Genomic DNA, 16,744 nt, shown 5'->3' with positions numbered 1-16,744 from the left:
TGTAACTCTGATTGTGAGGCCAAAGGTCTGAGACCCTGAAGTTCTGATGTCAAGGGCAGGAGAAGAAGGATGTTTCCATTTCAGAAGGAGATAATTCACCTTTCCTCTTCCTTGTTATTCTATCTGGGCTCTCAACCAATTGGATGCTGCCTGTATTCATCCATTTTTATACAGCTATGAAGAAATACCTGAGTCTGAGCAATTTATAAAGAACAAAGGGGTTTAATGGGCTGACAGTTCCACATGGCTGCAGGGGCCTCACAATCATGGCAGAAGGGGAAGCAAAGCTATCCCTCTTCACATGGCAGCAACAAGAAGTGCTGAGCCAAAGGGGAAAAGCCCCTTATAAAACCATCAGATCATGAGAACTCACTCACTGTCATGAGAACAGCATGGCAGTAACCACCACCATGATTCAGTCACCTCCCATTGGGTCCCTCCCACGACATGTAGGTATTACAGGAACTACAATTCAAGATGAGATCTGGGTGGGGACACAGCCAAACCATATCAGTGCCCATCCACATTGGGTCATGGTTATCTCAGTGTCTTCCAGAAACACCCTCATAGATATGCCCAGAAATCGTGTTTGACCAGCTGTGTGTGTCTCTCAATCCAGTCAAGTAGACGTCTACGATTAACCATCAGAATATTTATGCCTGATTCATGGCTGAAATCGTGTTTGACCAGCTATGTGTGTCTCTCAATCCAGTCAAGTAGATGTCTACAATTAACCATCAGAATATTTATGCCTGATTCATGGCTGAAATCGTGTTTGACCAGCTATGTGTGTCCCTTAATCCAGTCAAGTTGATGTCTAAAATTAACCGTCAGAATATTTATGCCTGATTCATGGCTGAAATTGTTTGACCAGCTATGTGTGTCTCTCAATCCACTCAAGTAGATGTCTAAAATTAACCATCAGAATATTTATGCCTGATTCATGGCTGAAATTGTGTTTGACCAGCTATGTGTGTCTCTCAATCCACTCAAGTAGATGTCTAAAATTAACCATCAGAATATTTATGCCTGATTCATGGCTGAAATCGTGTTTGACCAGCTATGTGTGTCTCTCAATCCGATCAAGTAGATGTCTAAAATTAACCGTCAGAATATTTATGCCTGATTCATGGCTGAAATTGTGTTTGACCAGCTATGTGTGTCTCTTAATCCACTCAAGTAGATATCTAAAATTAACCATCAGAATATTTATGCCTGATTCATGGCTGAAATCATGTTTGACCAGCTATGTGTGTCTCTTAATCCAGTCAAGTAGATGTCTAAAATTAACCATCAGAATATTTATGCCTGATTCATGGCTGAAATCGTGTTTGACCAGCTATGTGTGTCTCTCAATCCGATCAAGTAGATGTCTGAAATTAACCATCAGAATATTTATGCCTGATTCATGGCTGAAATTTCAGGATGAAAGCTATGAAATCTCTATTTGTGTTTGTGTATCTATTAATGTATGTTATGTATATGTGATATTTTCTTAACTCCAGAGAGCATTGCAAAATTCATTTATGAAATCCTCTAAAAGTGCTCTATTCTAACTTGGCTTGGAAAAAAATAAGCATTTATAAATAAATATTCACCAAACTCCTAGAAATATAGGAACTGATCAAATGTTTCTTAAGTTAACATGATTTGGATAAAACTTAGTTAAATAAGATTAATATAGGATTTTTGGTGTAATAAAACAACTATATCTTCAAAATTATCATTATTGAATATAAAACAAGCATAAATTCCTATTCTGCTTGAGTTCTAGTCAAATAAGCTAATATTATACTTACTAGAAACGTAAAATCTTAAAGCTTATAGATTTGATTCTAATTAAGTTGTCATTCTTATGAAAAACATTATTTTTTTTATGCTGAAAAGATACACATATATTTAGAGTTAGCCAGCTGGACTCAGTTTAGGTGATCCCAATTTTGTTACAACATCGAAAGCATCATAATCAGGAGCAAGTCGAACATATGCCTTCTCTTTATCAGGACAAATCAGGGTGGTGACCTTGGCCACATCACTGTCATAGAGCTTCTTCACAGCCTGTCTGATCTGGTGCTTGTTGGCTTTAACATCCACAGTGAACACAAGCGTGTTGTTTTCTTCTATCTTCTTCACGGCCGACTCAGTGGTCAGCGGAAACTTGATGATAGCATAGTGGCCAAGCTTGTTTCTCCTGGGGGTGCTCTTCCGAGGATATCTGGGCTGCCTCCGGAGTCGCAGTGTCTTGGGCCGCCTGAAGGTGAGTGACATGCGGATCTTCTTTTTTGCGTGTGGCTGCGGACACCTTTCAACACTGCCTTCTTGGCCTTTAAGGCCTTCGCTTTGGCTTCGGCTTTAGGAGGAGCAGGAGCTTCCTTCGCTTTCGGTGCCGTCTTGTGAAAAGCGAAAAACATTATTTCAAAAATAATTTGTTTACAGTAAATCTGCCTAAGAATAGTTTCCAAAGTACTTTTGGTAATTTTTAACCTTAAAGTTAAGCTAAGTAAAAGATTTGCATTAAATATCTAGACCATTTATAAATAAGATACAATACTAAAACATTAATTACTGAACATAAATAATTCAAGTTTATATACTTTTGGCTTCCTGTTTTTACAGAGAGACTAAAGATATTTTGGCCCGTTAATAAACATGTTTTTTTCTGCCACACTGAGGAATTGTATTATGAGAAAACACATCCCTCTAGATGTTGGGAGATGGTATATTCATACATTTTCTAACCTACTATAGAATGCTAATATATGACAGTTTATAACTGTCTACTTCCTAGTTTTCTCTGGAAAATAAAAGATTACTAAGTATTAAAATTATAATCAATATATGTAAATAAAACTACTAGAAATAATAGAATAACTAGAAACAACTCTATGCAAAGCATGCAAGAAAAGTAGGGCATGTTTCGCAAGTAAAGTAGGTTGCATTTTTTATAAGGAAAACCATACAGAAGATACAAATAAAAAGAGATACCTAACCTTCCCTGTGTTATATTTGTATGGGTAAAATGTTATGTTTTCAGAAATTATATAAAATTCCTGGAAGTTTGTCAATGTCCTCCTTATCCATGCTATGTGCCACTATAGAGTAATGAGTCATAATTCCAATTATTACTTTAAATGTTGTGCCAGGCACAGTGGCTCATGCCTATAATCCCAGCACTTTAGGAGGCTGAGGCGGGTGGATCACAAGGTCAGGAGATCCAGACCATCCTGGCTAACCCGGTGAATCTCCATCTCTATTAAAAATATAAAAAATTAGCCGGGCGTGATGGCAGGCACCTGTAGTCCCAGCTACTCGGGAGGCTGAGGCAGGAGAATGGCGTGAACCCAGGAGACAGAGCTTGCAGTGAGCCGAGATCGCACCGCTGCACTCCAGCCTGGGCGACAGAGCAAGACTCTGTCTCTAAATAAAGAAATAAATAAATGTTGTCTGCCACAGAAAAAATCGAATATCCTTGTCAGTTGTGGTATAATGAACTCTCATCAGATCTTTCATCACAGCCATTTCATACTTTTCGTCATTTAGATATTATTTCCCCCTGATGCTTTCCTGAAAGCTCCTGCAATCAACTACAGGTCAGAATGTTCGTCTCCAAGACAGGACTCCCTCTGAGACTCACAGAAAAGACTATGACAGGTACTCTGGTTATAGGCTTCTGATGATATTGCTTAAATAACTTTAAGACCATACACTTGACTCAGTTAAGGTCTCCAGAAGTCCAGTTGGGAAACTGATGGGTTCATGACACTGCTAACTCAAGATCCACAAGACTGGAATTGATTACATGGCACTGAATGAACTGATGAAAATTGATTATAATTGTATAGCTTTTTGGAGCATTGCTGGTTAATATTATAGTTTCTGGATTTAAGAAATCTCTTTCTCTTACTCTAACTGTAACTTACAACAATTTAGTAGATTATACTTTTGTAAACAGAAATGAAGCGTTTATCTTTTTTTCTTGCCTGATTTTTCCAGAATTTTGAAATCCTTACTGAATACTCTTATTTCCACGATGATATTGTTGTTAGCAAAAGTCCAATAAGAATCTATTCACCTTATAACAGGACATAATTGGAAATTTTGGTTATATTATCAAGGTTTTTACTGGAATATCATATTTAGGAAGTGTACCTAAGATCAGTTATGACCAGCAATTTTAAGGAAGTAAGGTTGACTTTTATGGAGACAATGCTTACAAAGCACTGTGGAAAACTTTGAGGAAAGTTCTTCCTCAAAGATTATAAAGTCACAACTACCCACTATTTTTATGTGTGTGTGTGTGTGTGTGTGTGTGTGTGTGTTCCAAATCACTTGTCCTAGCTTGCTCCAGCATGCCTGGACAGAACTAGACAAGCCCCAGCCCATAGTGCATGCCATTCCTTATTTGGAGATGCTTCCTTAACTACCCCTGGGCAACTTCCTTTTCTTTCTTTCTTCTATTCCCCTTACCTAATTAAGAAAGTTTTAAACTAACAGCCAATCGGGTAAAGTGTAAAATGGGAGGTCCTATTCCAGCCAATGGAAACTGGACACAGCAGTAGGGTAGACACGTCAGGTTATAAGTAACTCTGTCTCCTTTGTTTGGTGTGCTCTTGTAGCTGGACAGCTATTGAGTAGCACCCTTTGTGCAGAAAAATAAAGCTCGCCTTGCTAAGAGATCATTTGTTCCCATGTTAGTTCTTTTTTTTTGGGGGGGGAACATAAAAAACTTCATTCCCAACAGCACTCTGAGAAAACCCAGCCTGATACCTAGATTACAGGGTTCACAGCCTTATAGGTTAGTAAGGAAGGTCATTTCCTGGTAGGCCCAGGAATTTAGGGATATTTTGGGGCCTCAAGAAGAGAGGAATTCACAAAAAGCTATAAGGACTGCAGCTGAAATTTGATAGTATGTTCTTGGCTTGGCTTTTAGCCTGAATAAGGCCTTTAAAAGTCAAATCTGAGATTCTGTATGAAAACTTCCAGCAAAGAAACCTGAAAGCACCTACGTGGTCATCTCCTGTTCTTGCTGCACTTACGTAAATAATCAAGCAAAATCTAACAAAACTAGACTTATTTTTAAAACAAGAATAGTCTTACTTTGATTATGATCAAAAATGATGGTTACTACAGAGAGAAATTTTATCTTTCAAAGGAAAAGTATAACACAGCCGGGCATGGTGGCATATGCCTATAATTACAGCCCTTTGGAAGGCCAGGAGTTCAACATCAGCCTGGGCAACATGGTGAAACCCCGTCTCTACCAAAAATACAAAAATTAGATGGGCATGACGGCATGTGCCTGTAGTCCCAGGTAATCAGGAGGCTGAGGAGGGAGGATCGTTTGCACCCAGGAGGTAGAGGTTGCAGTGAGCTGAGATTGCACCTTTGCACTCCAGCCTGGGCGGCAGAGCCAGACCCTGTCTCAAAAAAAATTTTTTTAAAGGAAAACTATAGCCATTGTGAGTTATCAGATTCTAGTCTTGTTTCTTGTTTCTGGGCTATTTTTACCTCTTTGTAAACTGGATCCTGCCATCTGATGAATTTTGTCCCACAATGATACTTGGGGAACAAGAAGCCAAGTATTGTCTCTCCTACTAATGTATCTATTGTCAGTTAACTTGAAGGTCTCCAACCCTGGAACAAAGTTAGAAGAGGAAGGTTCTGCTCCCCAAAATGCATAACCAAATTCTGCTACATTCATGTAATGGAATACTATTTAGCCATAGAAAGGAACAAGATATCAACACACACAAAGACATGAGTGAATCTTGCATGCACATTGCTAAGTGGAAGAAGACAGTCTGAGGAGGATACACACAGTGTGACCTCATTTAATGAGACACTGGAGAAGGCAAACTACACAGATGGGAAGCCATTGGCTCCATGGGGTGGGGGTTTGAGGCATTCCATATGATACTTTAATAGCGGGATATCTGCCACAATGCATTTGTCGAAATATGCAGAATTTTACAGCCAAATGGTTAAAGCAAACTCTATTCAAATTAAATCAAATTACTCAGGATGTGGAGTATCCCATGACAGAATACATCATGTGAAAAAGAATTTATGCTACAAATTACTATGGTTTGGATGTGGTTTGTCCCCACAAAAACTCATGTTGAAATTTGACTCCCACTGTGTCAGTGTGGGGCGGTGGGGCCTAGTGGACGGTGTTTGGGTCGTGGGGACGGATCCCTCATGAATAGATTAATGTCCTCCATGGGGGTGAGTGAGTTCTGTTCTCACAGGAATAGATAATTCCTGCAGGAGCAGGTAATTAAAAAGAGCCTGGCTTCCTTGGCTTCCCTCTTGCTTTCACTTCTGCTGTGTGATCGCTGGTGCACCCCTTGCTCCCCTTCCACTTTCCACCATGAGGTGAAAAAGACTGAGGCCCCGCCAGATGCAACCGCCCAATCTGAGACATTCCAGCCACCAGTATTGTGAACCAAATGAAACTTTTTTACTTATAAATTACGCAGCCTCAGGTATTCTGTTACAGAAGCACAAAATGGACTAAGACACAAATCTAGGTAAAAACTTTGAAAATGAATAGAATCTGTAGGCTGAAGGCACATGAACTATACTTCATTATTGGATTCCATTTTATAAAGTTCTTTCCAACAGAAGCAATTGTGAACAATTGTAAAACCACAGTGTCTGTATCTGGAATAAAACAATGACTTACATAAGTCACAGATGGTGGGAACCAGGTTTCTTACTGTTGAAGTGGGAGGTTACAAATTAGCAAGGCGAGAAGGCTAGAATGATTCATGTGATAGTAGATCAGAGGTGGAGACATCAACGTAAACTTATGTTTAGTTTAATATAGACACACACAGTTCTACATAGAAAACTTTATAATTAGGTGTGTATAGGTAGGTTAGACACACACATATACTTCCTAGCATTGCCAATGAGGGAGAAGATACAATGTGCTCATTCAGCAGCCAGATGTAAGTTTTCCTACCATTCTGAAAGTAATCAGGCTCTTTGAAGAAATGTCTGATACTAGAACTGGGACAGTAAATATAGGAGCCAGGATAATCTGGAAGTATCAGAAAGTAAGTACTAAAAAAATTAAAACATATCAAAGAAAAATAAGAGCCAATAAAAACAGCTACTGATGGCCAACACAGGAATGAATTGTGCAACATAATACTGTAGTGTTGAATAATAACTAAAGCTTAAAGTAATTATCTAGGTGTCTGTATTTGTATACCTAGGTGAATAAGCAAATGGAGTTGCATAGAAATCTCCTTTGCAAAAGAATTCCAAATAATTGATGTAGACACTCAGCCGTCAAGAAGGTGGAGCCAACTCCTGACGGAGTAAGGCTCTGCATAGTGACTTGCTCCAAAAGAACACATGCAGTACGGACAAGGAGGAGAAATAACCTCACAGTGGAGAAACCTGACAAACATTAGCTCTGCCAAATGATCCAAGTGAACATCAAAGGTGACAGTTCACCTTGAGAACATGAAGTGACAATGGGGGACATTCTACAACATTCCTGACCAATCCTCCTCAGTGCTATGAAGGTCATCATGAGATGGAAAGCCTGACACACTGTCACAGCCAGGAAGAGCCCACGTGATGTCTACATGTCATGCGGGATCCTGGATGGGATCCTGGGTCAGAGTAAGATAGAACTAAGGGAATCCAAATGAAATATGAACTTCAATTAATAATAGTCTATCAGTATTGGTTCATTAACTGTGACAAATTATGTAAGATATTAATAAGCCATGTGAGACACACTGATAGAAGATGTTAATAAGAGAGGAAACTAGGTTGCGGCTACATGGGAAATCTCTGCTTTTTTTTGACAATTTCTGTGTAAGTAAAAAAGATGATGTAAAATAAAACTTTATTTAAAACACTGTTTTTTTTGAACACTTCCTTGTTTAATTATTTATACCATGAATTACTAGTAATTGACACTGTTAACTAGTCCTGTTTTTTTAAATAAGAGTATTTATGACACAAAAAATTAAACAGTGCAGACTGATACATAAATCAAATGTTCTTTACATGTTTTCTGTTGCGGTAGTAACACATATGTGTAAACTTAATTATCACGTTTTTCTTGTGCTGTGGTTGTGTCCTGAGTTCATTCTCTAAAATGCTGTTCACCTTAGACCAGGAAAAATATTAACTATACAGACTCTGTTTCAATTCATAGCTAAATATTTTCGAAAGAGTGACTTTGTAAAAATATGTTCCAATGGCAAATTGATTCATTGTGATGGGATCACTTATTCCAAAGACTTCCTGTCTTTATTTTGTTGCCATGCCTACCTTTTAGCCATGATACAACAGAATCAAATATTGGCCACTGGGAAAAAATATTCAAAGCAAGAAAGAATGTGAACAGAACTTATGACCATGATGATTCAATGTTTTACCACAATGCTTTCTAAAACAGAAGAGTGTAAAAGGATATTCAAAGTCAATTTCCTCAGCGAGGCTTTGCAGAAAATGAGGAAACTACAGAAACAAAAATGGCAGGACATTCTACGGGTGATTTTAAATGTTGCTATGTTTTATGGGAAAAAAATACTTTACCTTTTAAAGAATCACAAAGAATTATTGGAAACCCAAACTCTGGAATGTTTGCAAATTTAGTTGAGCTTCTATGTAATTATGTCTATATAGGTAGCCAGGAAGTTGATGATTTTTTAAAAATCTGTGCCTTATTTGTGTGATAAAATACACAATGAATAATTAATGCTCATAGGAAAATCTTATGAAGGGAAAATAAATCTTGGGAATCAAAATCACTAAGCTAAAGGGAAAAGTCAAGCTGGGAACTGCTTAGGGCAAACCCGCCTCCCATTGTATCCAAAGTCACCCATCTGCTCACCGAGATAAATGCATACCTGATTGCCTCATTTGGAGAGGGTAATCAGCAATGCAAAAGAATGAAACCATTTGTCTCTTACCTACCTATGACCTGGAAGCCCCCTGTCTGGCCTTCTCACCTTTCTGGACTGAACCAATGTACATCTTACACGTATTGATTGATGTCTCATGTCTCCCTAAAGTGTATAAAACCAAGTTGTGCCCCGATCACCTTGGGCCCATGTTGTCACGACCTCCTGGGGAGGCATCACGGGTGCACATCCTCAAGATTGGCAAAATAAACTTTCTTAAAAATCTGAGAGCTGTCTCAGATTTTCAGGGTTCACACATGTAATGTAGGATGTCAACATTTATAAAACAGACATTATTCTATCTACTATTAGAAATATGCTGCCAATTAACCTTACACTTTCTCAACAAAATAAAAAATGTTGATGAGGTACAAATAATATATCTAAGCTTAAATAGTGTTACAAGTTTTAATATGCCTACTTTTCAATTTTTCAATACTATTTTTACTAATTTAACACTTTAAGTGAATAACTAAAACATGAATAAGTGTTTACAAGGGGTGCACATGTTTCCTCCAGCCTCTGCCTATCCCCAGCTTTCATCCCAACTGTCTTGATGGTGGCTCTAAGCATTTCTCCTTTCTCTATGCCAAGATCTCTCCCAGAAACAAACCCAAATCTTACTATATGTTATGGCACGCTATGATGATGAGCAGCGATGAGCAGCCGAAGCCTCAAGGAAGGGATGCTTTTGTAAAACAAGACTTGTAGAATATAACGTGTGAAAGTAAAGCCCATGGCAGAGCTCCCTCCTCAGCACACGGGGAGCAGACAGGAAGCTTTTGCCTCACCTTCCTCAATGGCCTGCAGCCACGTCTCCCAGGTCAGTCTTAAGGACAATGAAACTCTGGTCTTCACTGTGGACACGCCACACTACCAGGTGCTCCAAAGCCATGGTGACCCACCCTCGGGTGGGTCCTGAGAACAAAGCTCTGGTTCTAATCCTAACCCTAACCCTGTCCCAAGACTTTGAGCCTGAACCTAAATCCTGATCCCTACCCTGGTCCTTAATTCTGACCCTTACTTTAACCCTGACTTTGATCTTGACCCTGACCATGACCCCACCTCTAACCATACTTCCGGCCCTGACTCTGACCCAGATCCTAATCCTATGCCTAACCCTATTATTATCTTTACAATCTATCTCTACTCTTACCCTCTAGTGCTAAATAGCTGTACCCAAAAGCACTTTTAAATTATTTCTTTTCTTGAATTCTCTATGGACATCCTAAAGGAGATGTCAATATGTATTGCATTCCCTCTGAGTGGTATGGCTTCAGATATGAAGTTCTAATACTTTGCAAGACATAAAAAGTTTGGAGGGTAACAGCACTGGGTTGTTAGGGATGTATGTTGGCATTCATGATAGTCATTGGTGCTGTTCTCCAAATATTTTCAGTTCATTTTTTATGAATGCATTCTGACTGTTCCATCCCACCTACTTAAATTTTCCCATGGCCACATGACTTTTTTTTTTTTTTTTTTTTTTTTTTTTTTTTTTTTTTTTTTTTTTGCCAATGGAGGTGAGAAGAAATAACGTGACTTTTTCAGGAGAAATCTCCAAGAAACAGCGTTCTATTCCGCATGCTTTTTTCTCTTTTCTATAGCAATGGGGATCTTATTGACGGTCCCTCCTTCCTTCTGGATTCCTGTGTTAGGATGACACAGCACAGAGCTACCTCTCACCTGACCAGTCATGAGATGTAAATAAATGAGGAAGAAGATTTTTGAGCCACTGAAATTTGGAGGTTGTTTGTCACCACAGTTTAAGCTAGCCCCCACTGACTGATGCACGGCTGAAGAATGAGTCCGAACTGGCTCTGGACAAGACATGTGAAGAGCGCTCCAGGCTGAGTAAAATTCAAGGGTTGCCTCAAAGATAACAATGAGCACGATATGTTATTGGGGTGGGTGTGGGATAAATAAGGTGTATCAGGTGAGAATAAGAAGAAACTCAACTTTAAAAGACGGCGCTGATTTGCACTGTGGAGAGATTCAAATGCCCTGCTTAGCATTTGAGATTGTGATGGATGAACAAACTAATTAAGAGCCCAAAATGGAAGCTTAGGATAAATATCTGAGGGTGTCTAATATCCCAATTTTTCATCCTAGAATGGGCAGAGTCCTTGACCCCATTCTAGGGAGACTTCCAAAAGAAAAAAGACCTGCATTTCTTCAACAACCCACACTGAGAGACTTTCCTGCACTTTTGACCTGTGGCTAACACTCCTCACCTTTCATTCTGTCATCAGTGTTTTGGGGAAGCACCTTCATCTCTCTGATTTAGAGGTTATTAAGTGGCCCTTACAATTCCCTCCAGAGATGGAAAGGACATGATGATGGTGTCTGAGCTCACAGCAGCAAGCAGGCGTGTGTGCTCAGCAGCCACGTGGCTCATCTGCTAGGAGCTTGCTAAACACAATGTTCTACAACATTGCCTAACACAAGGGGAGACGCTCCTGACTCAGAGGGTTTAATTGCTCACCTACTTCTTTTTCTGCCTTCTTGGGCTTCTAAAATGAAAAGAACCCTGGGGTGATAAAGTGAGTCAAAGCGGTGCCAGCCGCATCACAGCAAAATAGATTCCTAAAAAATCCCTGGCCTAAGATGACAGCCTTGGCTGGATCAGTTTGAATGTGCTGATAGCGGACGTGGTAGAATGAAGGTGGCTGAAATGTTCATATTAAAGAACTTCCACCCAGATTGCAAGAAAAGAGATAGGAATGGAGATGGCAGCACGAGTCCCTACAATAAAAGCAGATGTTTTGAGATCAGTTATATTTGTTCTGACAAAAATTAAAGACAGAAACCAAAGTTTAGCCTGAGGCTACAATTAATTGGGCAATAAGCCAGAGGCACATATGGCATAGACAGATTTAAACATTTCTCCCTGATATTAATACAAACACTAAAATTACAAATACATGGATTCCAAATAAAACAAATATTTTAAAAATTTAATGAATAAACACTGGGGTCTACAGTAGTATTTGAAGGAGATCTCACAAACAGGTTTGGTTTTTGAAGGTTAGAATTGATGGTCTAGATAATGCATTTCATTCCAGAGATAGAAAGAGAGGAATTTCTTGGGTTCCTTCAGGAATGCATCTAGTTTTGCCTCATCTTTGTTTGAACTATGGATACGGCAGAAGAAAACATGAGGATTTCACAGATTTAAGGTGTGAAAACTCACTGGGTTCTCTAAGAAGTCTGTGATTCTTCTGCTGGAAAAATAAGTTTGTTGAGAAAAAATGAGTTGGAGGAGGCTGTTACTAAGTGAAGCAGAATTGTTTTTACTAATCTGCTTATTAATCACTCTGTAGTGTGGAAACAAATTATTCATGCACAAGGTCCTCTTACTGTTCCTGGAATGCAGTGGAAAGAGAACAGATTAGTTTTTCTCCCTCAGAACACAACCCCTAGAAACATCCTACCTCAGATGAGATATTGCCTAATTATTTTCAAAAGACAGTGAAAAATGATGGATGTAAATGTTTGCTACAAAATAAATACATGCTAGAAACAGAAGCATCTGGGTCACAGCTATATTAGAGCTACCTGTGTTCCCCTGTCACTGAGATTAAAACAAAAATGTCCAATACAATCATTCACAGCATGGGAGAGGGGAAGTTGAAGGATGGAAAGGCCAGGCATAAAAAGATTTCAGAATTTCAGTCCATAAGGCACCGGCCCTGGGGTGATTAGGGAAGAGCGGTATTGTCTCCTACAGTATCAGAGCCAGATAAAGTAGGTGGTTAGGAGTATTGGTTCTGGACTGGTAGTTTAATTGGCTGGCCCTGGGAAAGGCAATCTTTTCCCAGTAAACCCCAGATGCTAGAACATCAAGAAAACAGAAAATAAGAAAATATAATTAATGCATTCCGTATGCACAGATGGAGTCTTCCTTTGCTTCCACAGAGGAAGAATCCACAGGAGCGTGGCACTCCTGGACCTGAGGAAACCCTGAAAATGTTGGTATCTGCAGATCCTCTCCAAAAAGAGGTCGCCAATCTCCTAAGACTGCAAGCCTGACCCTAGCATTCTGGGAGCCAAGAGGGAGAAAGAGTCTGAGGATCTCCCTGCTCAGTAAATTGGCTTTCACTAAATACTCTCTTTACATAAGCTGCATTATCTAGTGTCCTGGAGCTTACAAAAGTTCTGTTTCAAAGTCTGAAGAAAATAAATTGTTTCTTTTTCCGACGTCAGGGAGGAGTATTTGACTGCCAGTGTGGACTGAGGGGTCTTGGGATCACACTCTTCCCAATCAGCTTTGAACCGACCTTTCTGTGTCTGCCTCACCATCTCCTCTGCTTATCTAGACACGTGGTAACCCTAACCCAAGCCCTTGTAGGAGTCTGTGGTGTGGCTCAGCTGCCTCTGTAGGCATCTCTTGGGGTTAAACATTTTCTACTCTGCTAAGGCAGTGCCATCTCTTCTGCTTCATCTGCAGGAGACACTGAGTCCTTCCCCACCCTCCACACCAAGTCCGTAGCACCCTTGAGGCCACAGGGTTGTTGCCATAGTATTTTTGTACTGAGTGCTCTCTTTCCAAACAACTGTGAGAGATTTCTATGGAGAAGGCCTCTGGGTTCCTGTCAAATCAAATTGTAGTTGAGTGTTGGGTGCTATTCAAGAAGCATCCACCTTTCTTCTTCCTAACAGAGCCCTGAATTATTTAGTCACATGGTTTGAAACATGGGGTGGGTGCTGGTTGACTTAACCTAACCACCACTGTCTCACCCTATGTCACAGTTACTGGTTCCAAGGTGGGTGCATAACTGAGGCTCATGCCAGGTGCCACACAGCACTCCCTTGGTCCCCCTAATGGACTTGGGGATGGGCAAGGGCCTGAGTTGTTCCAATTAGAGTCAAATACAAGTTGTGCTAGGTTGTTAGGAACAAGAATGTGCTTGTTCATCTTCCCTCTTTGATGAAGAATGCAGCCTCATAAATTATTCCTAGAGATTTTGCCACACTCAGAATGATTCTGACTTCACTGAAGGCAGAGCAGAAAATTGGGAAGAGACTGAGTCCTGGGTAGCATACCTGAGCTTCTTTTTGCTCAAATTCACCCTGAAGCCTGGCCTTCTTCTGAACTACCCACCTGAGTCAATAAAGTGCCTTCTTATTAAAGTCAAATTGAGCTGGATTTTTAGTTAGTTGCATCTGCAGGTGTTCTGTGAAGCTGATCCTATTAGTTTGTATCTGAGAATATTTAGAGTGTTTCTCTCATGGTTGAGTCAATCATTTCAAGGATGCTTTGAGGGTAAAAAGAATGATCAATTGTGCTGCCAGGCACAATTCATTGGGCAATAGAAAGCTTTATTTACTGGGCAGTAGAAACTTTCATTGTACATTAATTACATATCTTGTTTCTGTCTCAACCTCCTGTTTTTTTATATGCAAAGAAGGTAAGGAAGTCTACATAAGTCCAGCAGCTAATATGCCTCTCAGGTGTGATCCAAAAAAGAATTGAATTATGCAAGCCTTGTTAAAATTCATCATCATCATTCATATTTCTGAATATTTAAATTAGAAATTCTGAAAAAGTCATTTGTTTCAGAGGTAGTTTGTATGTATGTAGGTATTTTTTCAGGATCAAAAGTTTATTTTTATAGTCTGATTGAGTTTAATTTACATATAATAAATTTACCAATTTTAAGTGTACAAATGAATGCATTTGGACAAATATATATAGTCATATACACAACACTACCATTAAAATACATTTCATTACCCCCAAAACTCCCTCGTATGCTGCTGTATTCAGTGCCCTCCCCACACCACAGCTCCTGGCAGTTGCTTTTTTTTCACTCTAGTTTTGTCTTTCTTAGAATTTGTTACAGGCCACAAGCAGCGACTCATGTCTGTAAATCCTAGCATTAGACTGAGAAGGGAGGATCACTTAAGCCCAGGAGTTTGAGACCAGCCTGGGCAACACACATATGGCAAAACCCCATCTCAAAAAACATACACACACTCACACACAAAATTAGCCAGGTGTGATGGCACACCTGTGGTCCCAGCTACTCAGGATGAAGAACCACCTGAGCCTGGGAGGTCAAGGCTGCAGTGATCTGTGATCACATCACTGCACTCCAGCCTTGGTTATAGAGTGAGATGCTGTCTCAAAAAAAAAAAAAGAATTTAATATAAATGGAATCATATAGTAAATTATCTTATACCTGGTTTCTTTCATATATTTTAATGCCTTTGAGATATGTCCATGTTGTTTCCAGTATATATGTCATTCTTCTTATGTTGGGTAGTAACCATTGTGGGAATATATTACAGCTTGTTTAACTATTCTTCAGTGATAAACTATTTTTAAAATATTTGGCTATTAAGAAGAAAGTTGTTATGAATACTTATATTCAGGCCTTTGTGTAAACAGATTTTCACTTCTCTTGGTTGAAAACATAGGAGGAATTATTATTTTTTGAGTTATGGATTTTTAAATGACTATCAGTTTCTTTAAAAAATGTAAATTCTTAAATTTAAAAGTTTAGGATGTCTGACAACCCTGACGAAAACAAGCAATGGGGGAAAGGATTCCCTATTTAATAAATGGTGTTGGGAAAACTGGCTAGCCATACACAGAAAATTGAAACTGGACCCCTTCCTTACACCTTATACAAAAATTAACTCAAGATGGATTAAAGACTTAAACGTAAGACCTAAAACCATAAAAACCCTAGAAGAAAACCTAGGCAATACCATTCAGGACATAGGCATGTGAAAAGCCTTCATGACTAAAACACCAAAAACAATGGCAACAAAAGCCAGAATTGACAAATGGAATCTAATTAAAGAGCTTCTGCATAGCAAAAGAAACTCTCATCAGAGTGAACAGGCAACCTACAGAATGGGAGAAAATTTTTGCAATCTATCCATCTGACAAAGGGCTAATATCCAGAATCTACAAGGAACTTAAACAAATTTAGAAGGAAAAACCAAACAACCTCATCAAAAAGTGGGTGAAGGATATGAACAGACACTTCTCAAAAGAAGACATTTATGCAGCCAACGAACATATGAAAAAAAGCTCTCATCATCACTGGTCATTAGAGAAATGCAAATCAAAACCACAATGACATACCACCTCACGCCAGTTAGAATGGCGATCATTAAAAAGTCAAGAAAAAACAGATGCTGGAGAGGATGTGGAGAAGCAAGAACGCTTTTACACTGTTGGTGGGAGTGTAAATTAGTTCAACCGTTGTGGAAGACAGTGTGGCGATTCCTCTAGGATCTAGAACCAGAAATACCATTTGACGCAGCAATCCCATTACTGGGTATATACCCAAAGGATTATAAATCATTCTACTACAAAGACACATGCACACGTATGTTTATTGCAGTACTGTTCACAATAGCAAAGACTTGGAACCAACACAAATGCCCATCAGTGATATACTGGATAAAGAAAATGTGGTGTATATACACAATGGAATACTATGCAGCCATAAAAAGGATGAGTTCATGTCCTTTGCAGGGACATAGGTGAAGCTGGAAACCATATTCTCAGCAACCTAACACAAGAACAGAAAACCAAACACCGCATGTTCTCTCTCATAAGTGGGAGTTGAACAGTGAGAACACATGGACACAGGGAGGGGAACATCACACACCAGGGCCTGTTGGGGGATTGGGGGCTAGGGGAGGGATAGCATTAGGAGAAATACTTAATGTAGATGATGGGTTGATGGGTGCAGCAAACCACGATGGCACATGTATACCTATGTAACAAACCTGCACGTTCTGCACATGTATCCCAGAACTTAAAGTATGATTTAAAAAAAAAAAAGAAA

General features: G+C 39.3%; 1 pseudogene; it reads right to left on the bottom strand.

The window, feature by feature from the left end:
* RPL23AP4 (ribosomal protein L23a pseudogene 4) lies at positions 1,876-2,401 on the bottom strand (annotated as a pseudogene).

This window comes from Homo sapiens, chromosome 21, assembly GCF_000001405.40.
Source record: "Homo sapiens chromosome 21, GRCh38.p14 Primary Assembly".
Classification (NCBI taxonomy): Eukaryota; Metazoa; Chordata; class Mammalia; order Primates; family Hominidae; genus Homo; species Homo sapiens.
The sequence above is the reverse complement of the archived record's forward strand: the minus strand, read 5'-3'. Positions and strand labels throughout refer to the sequence as shown.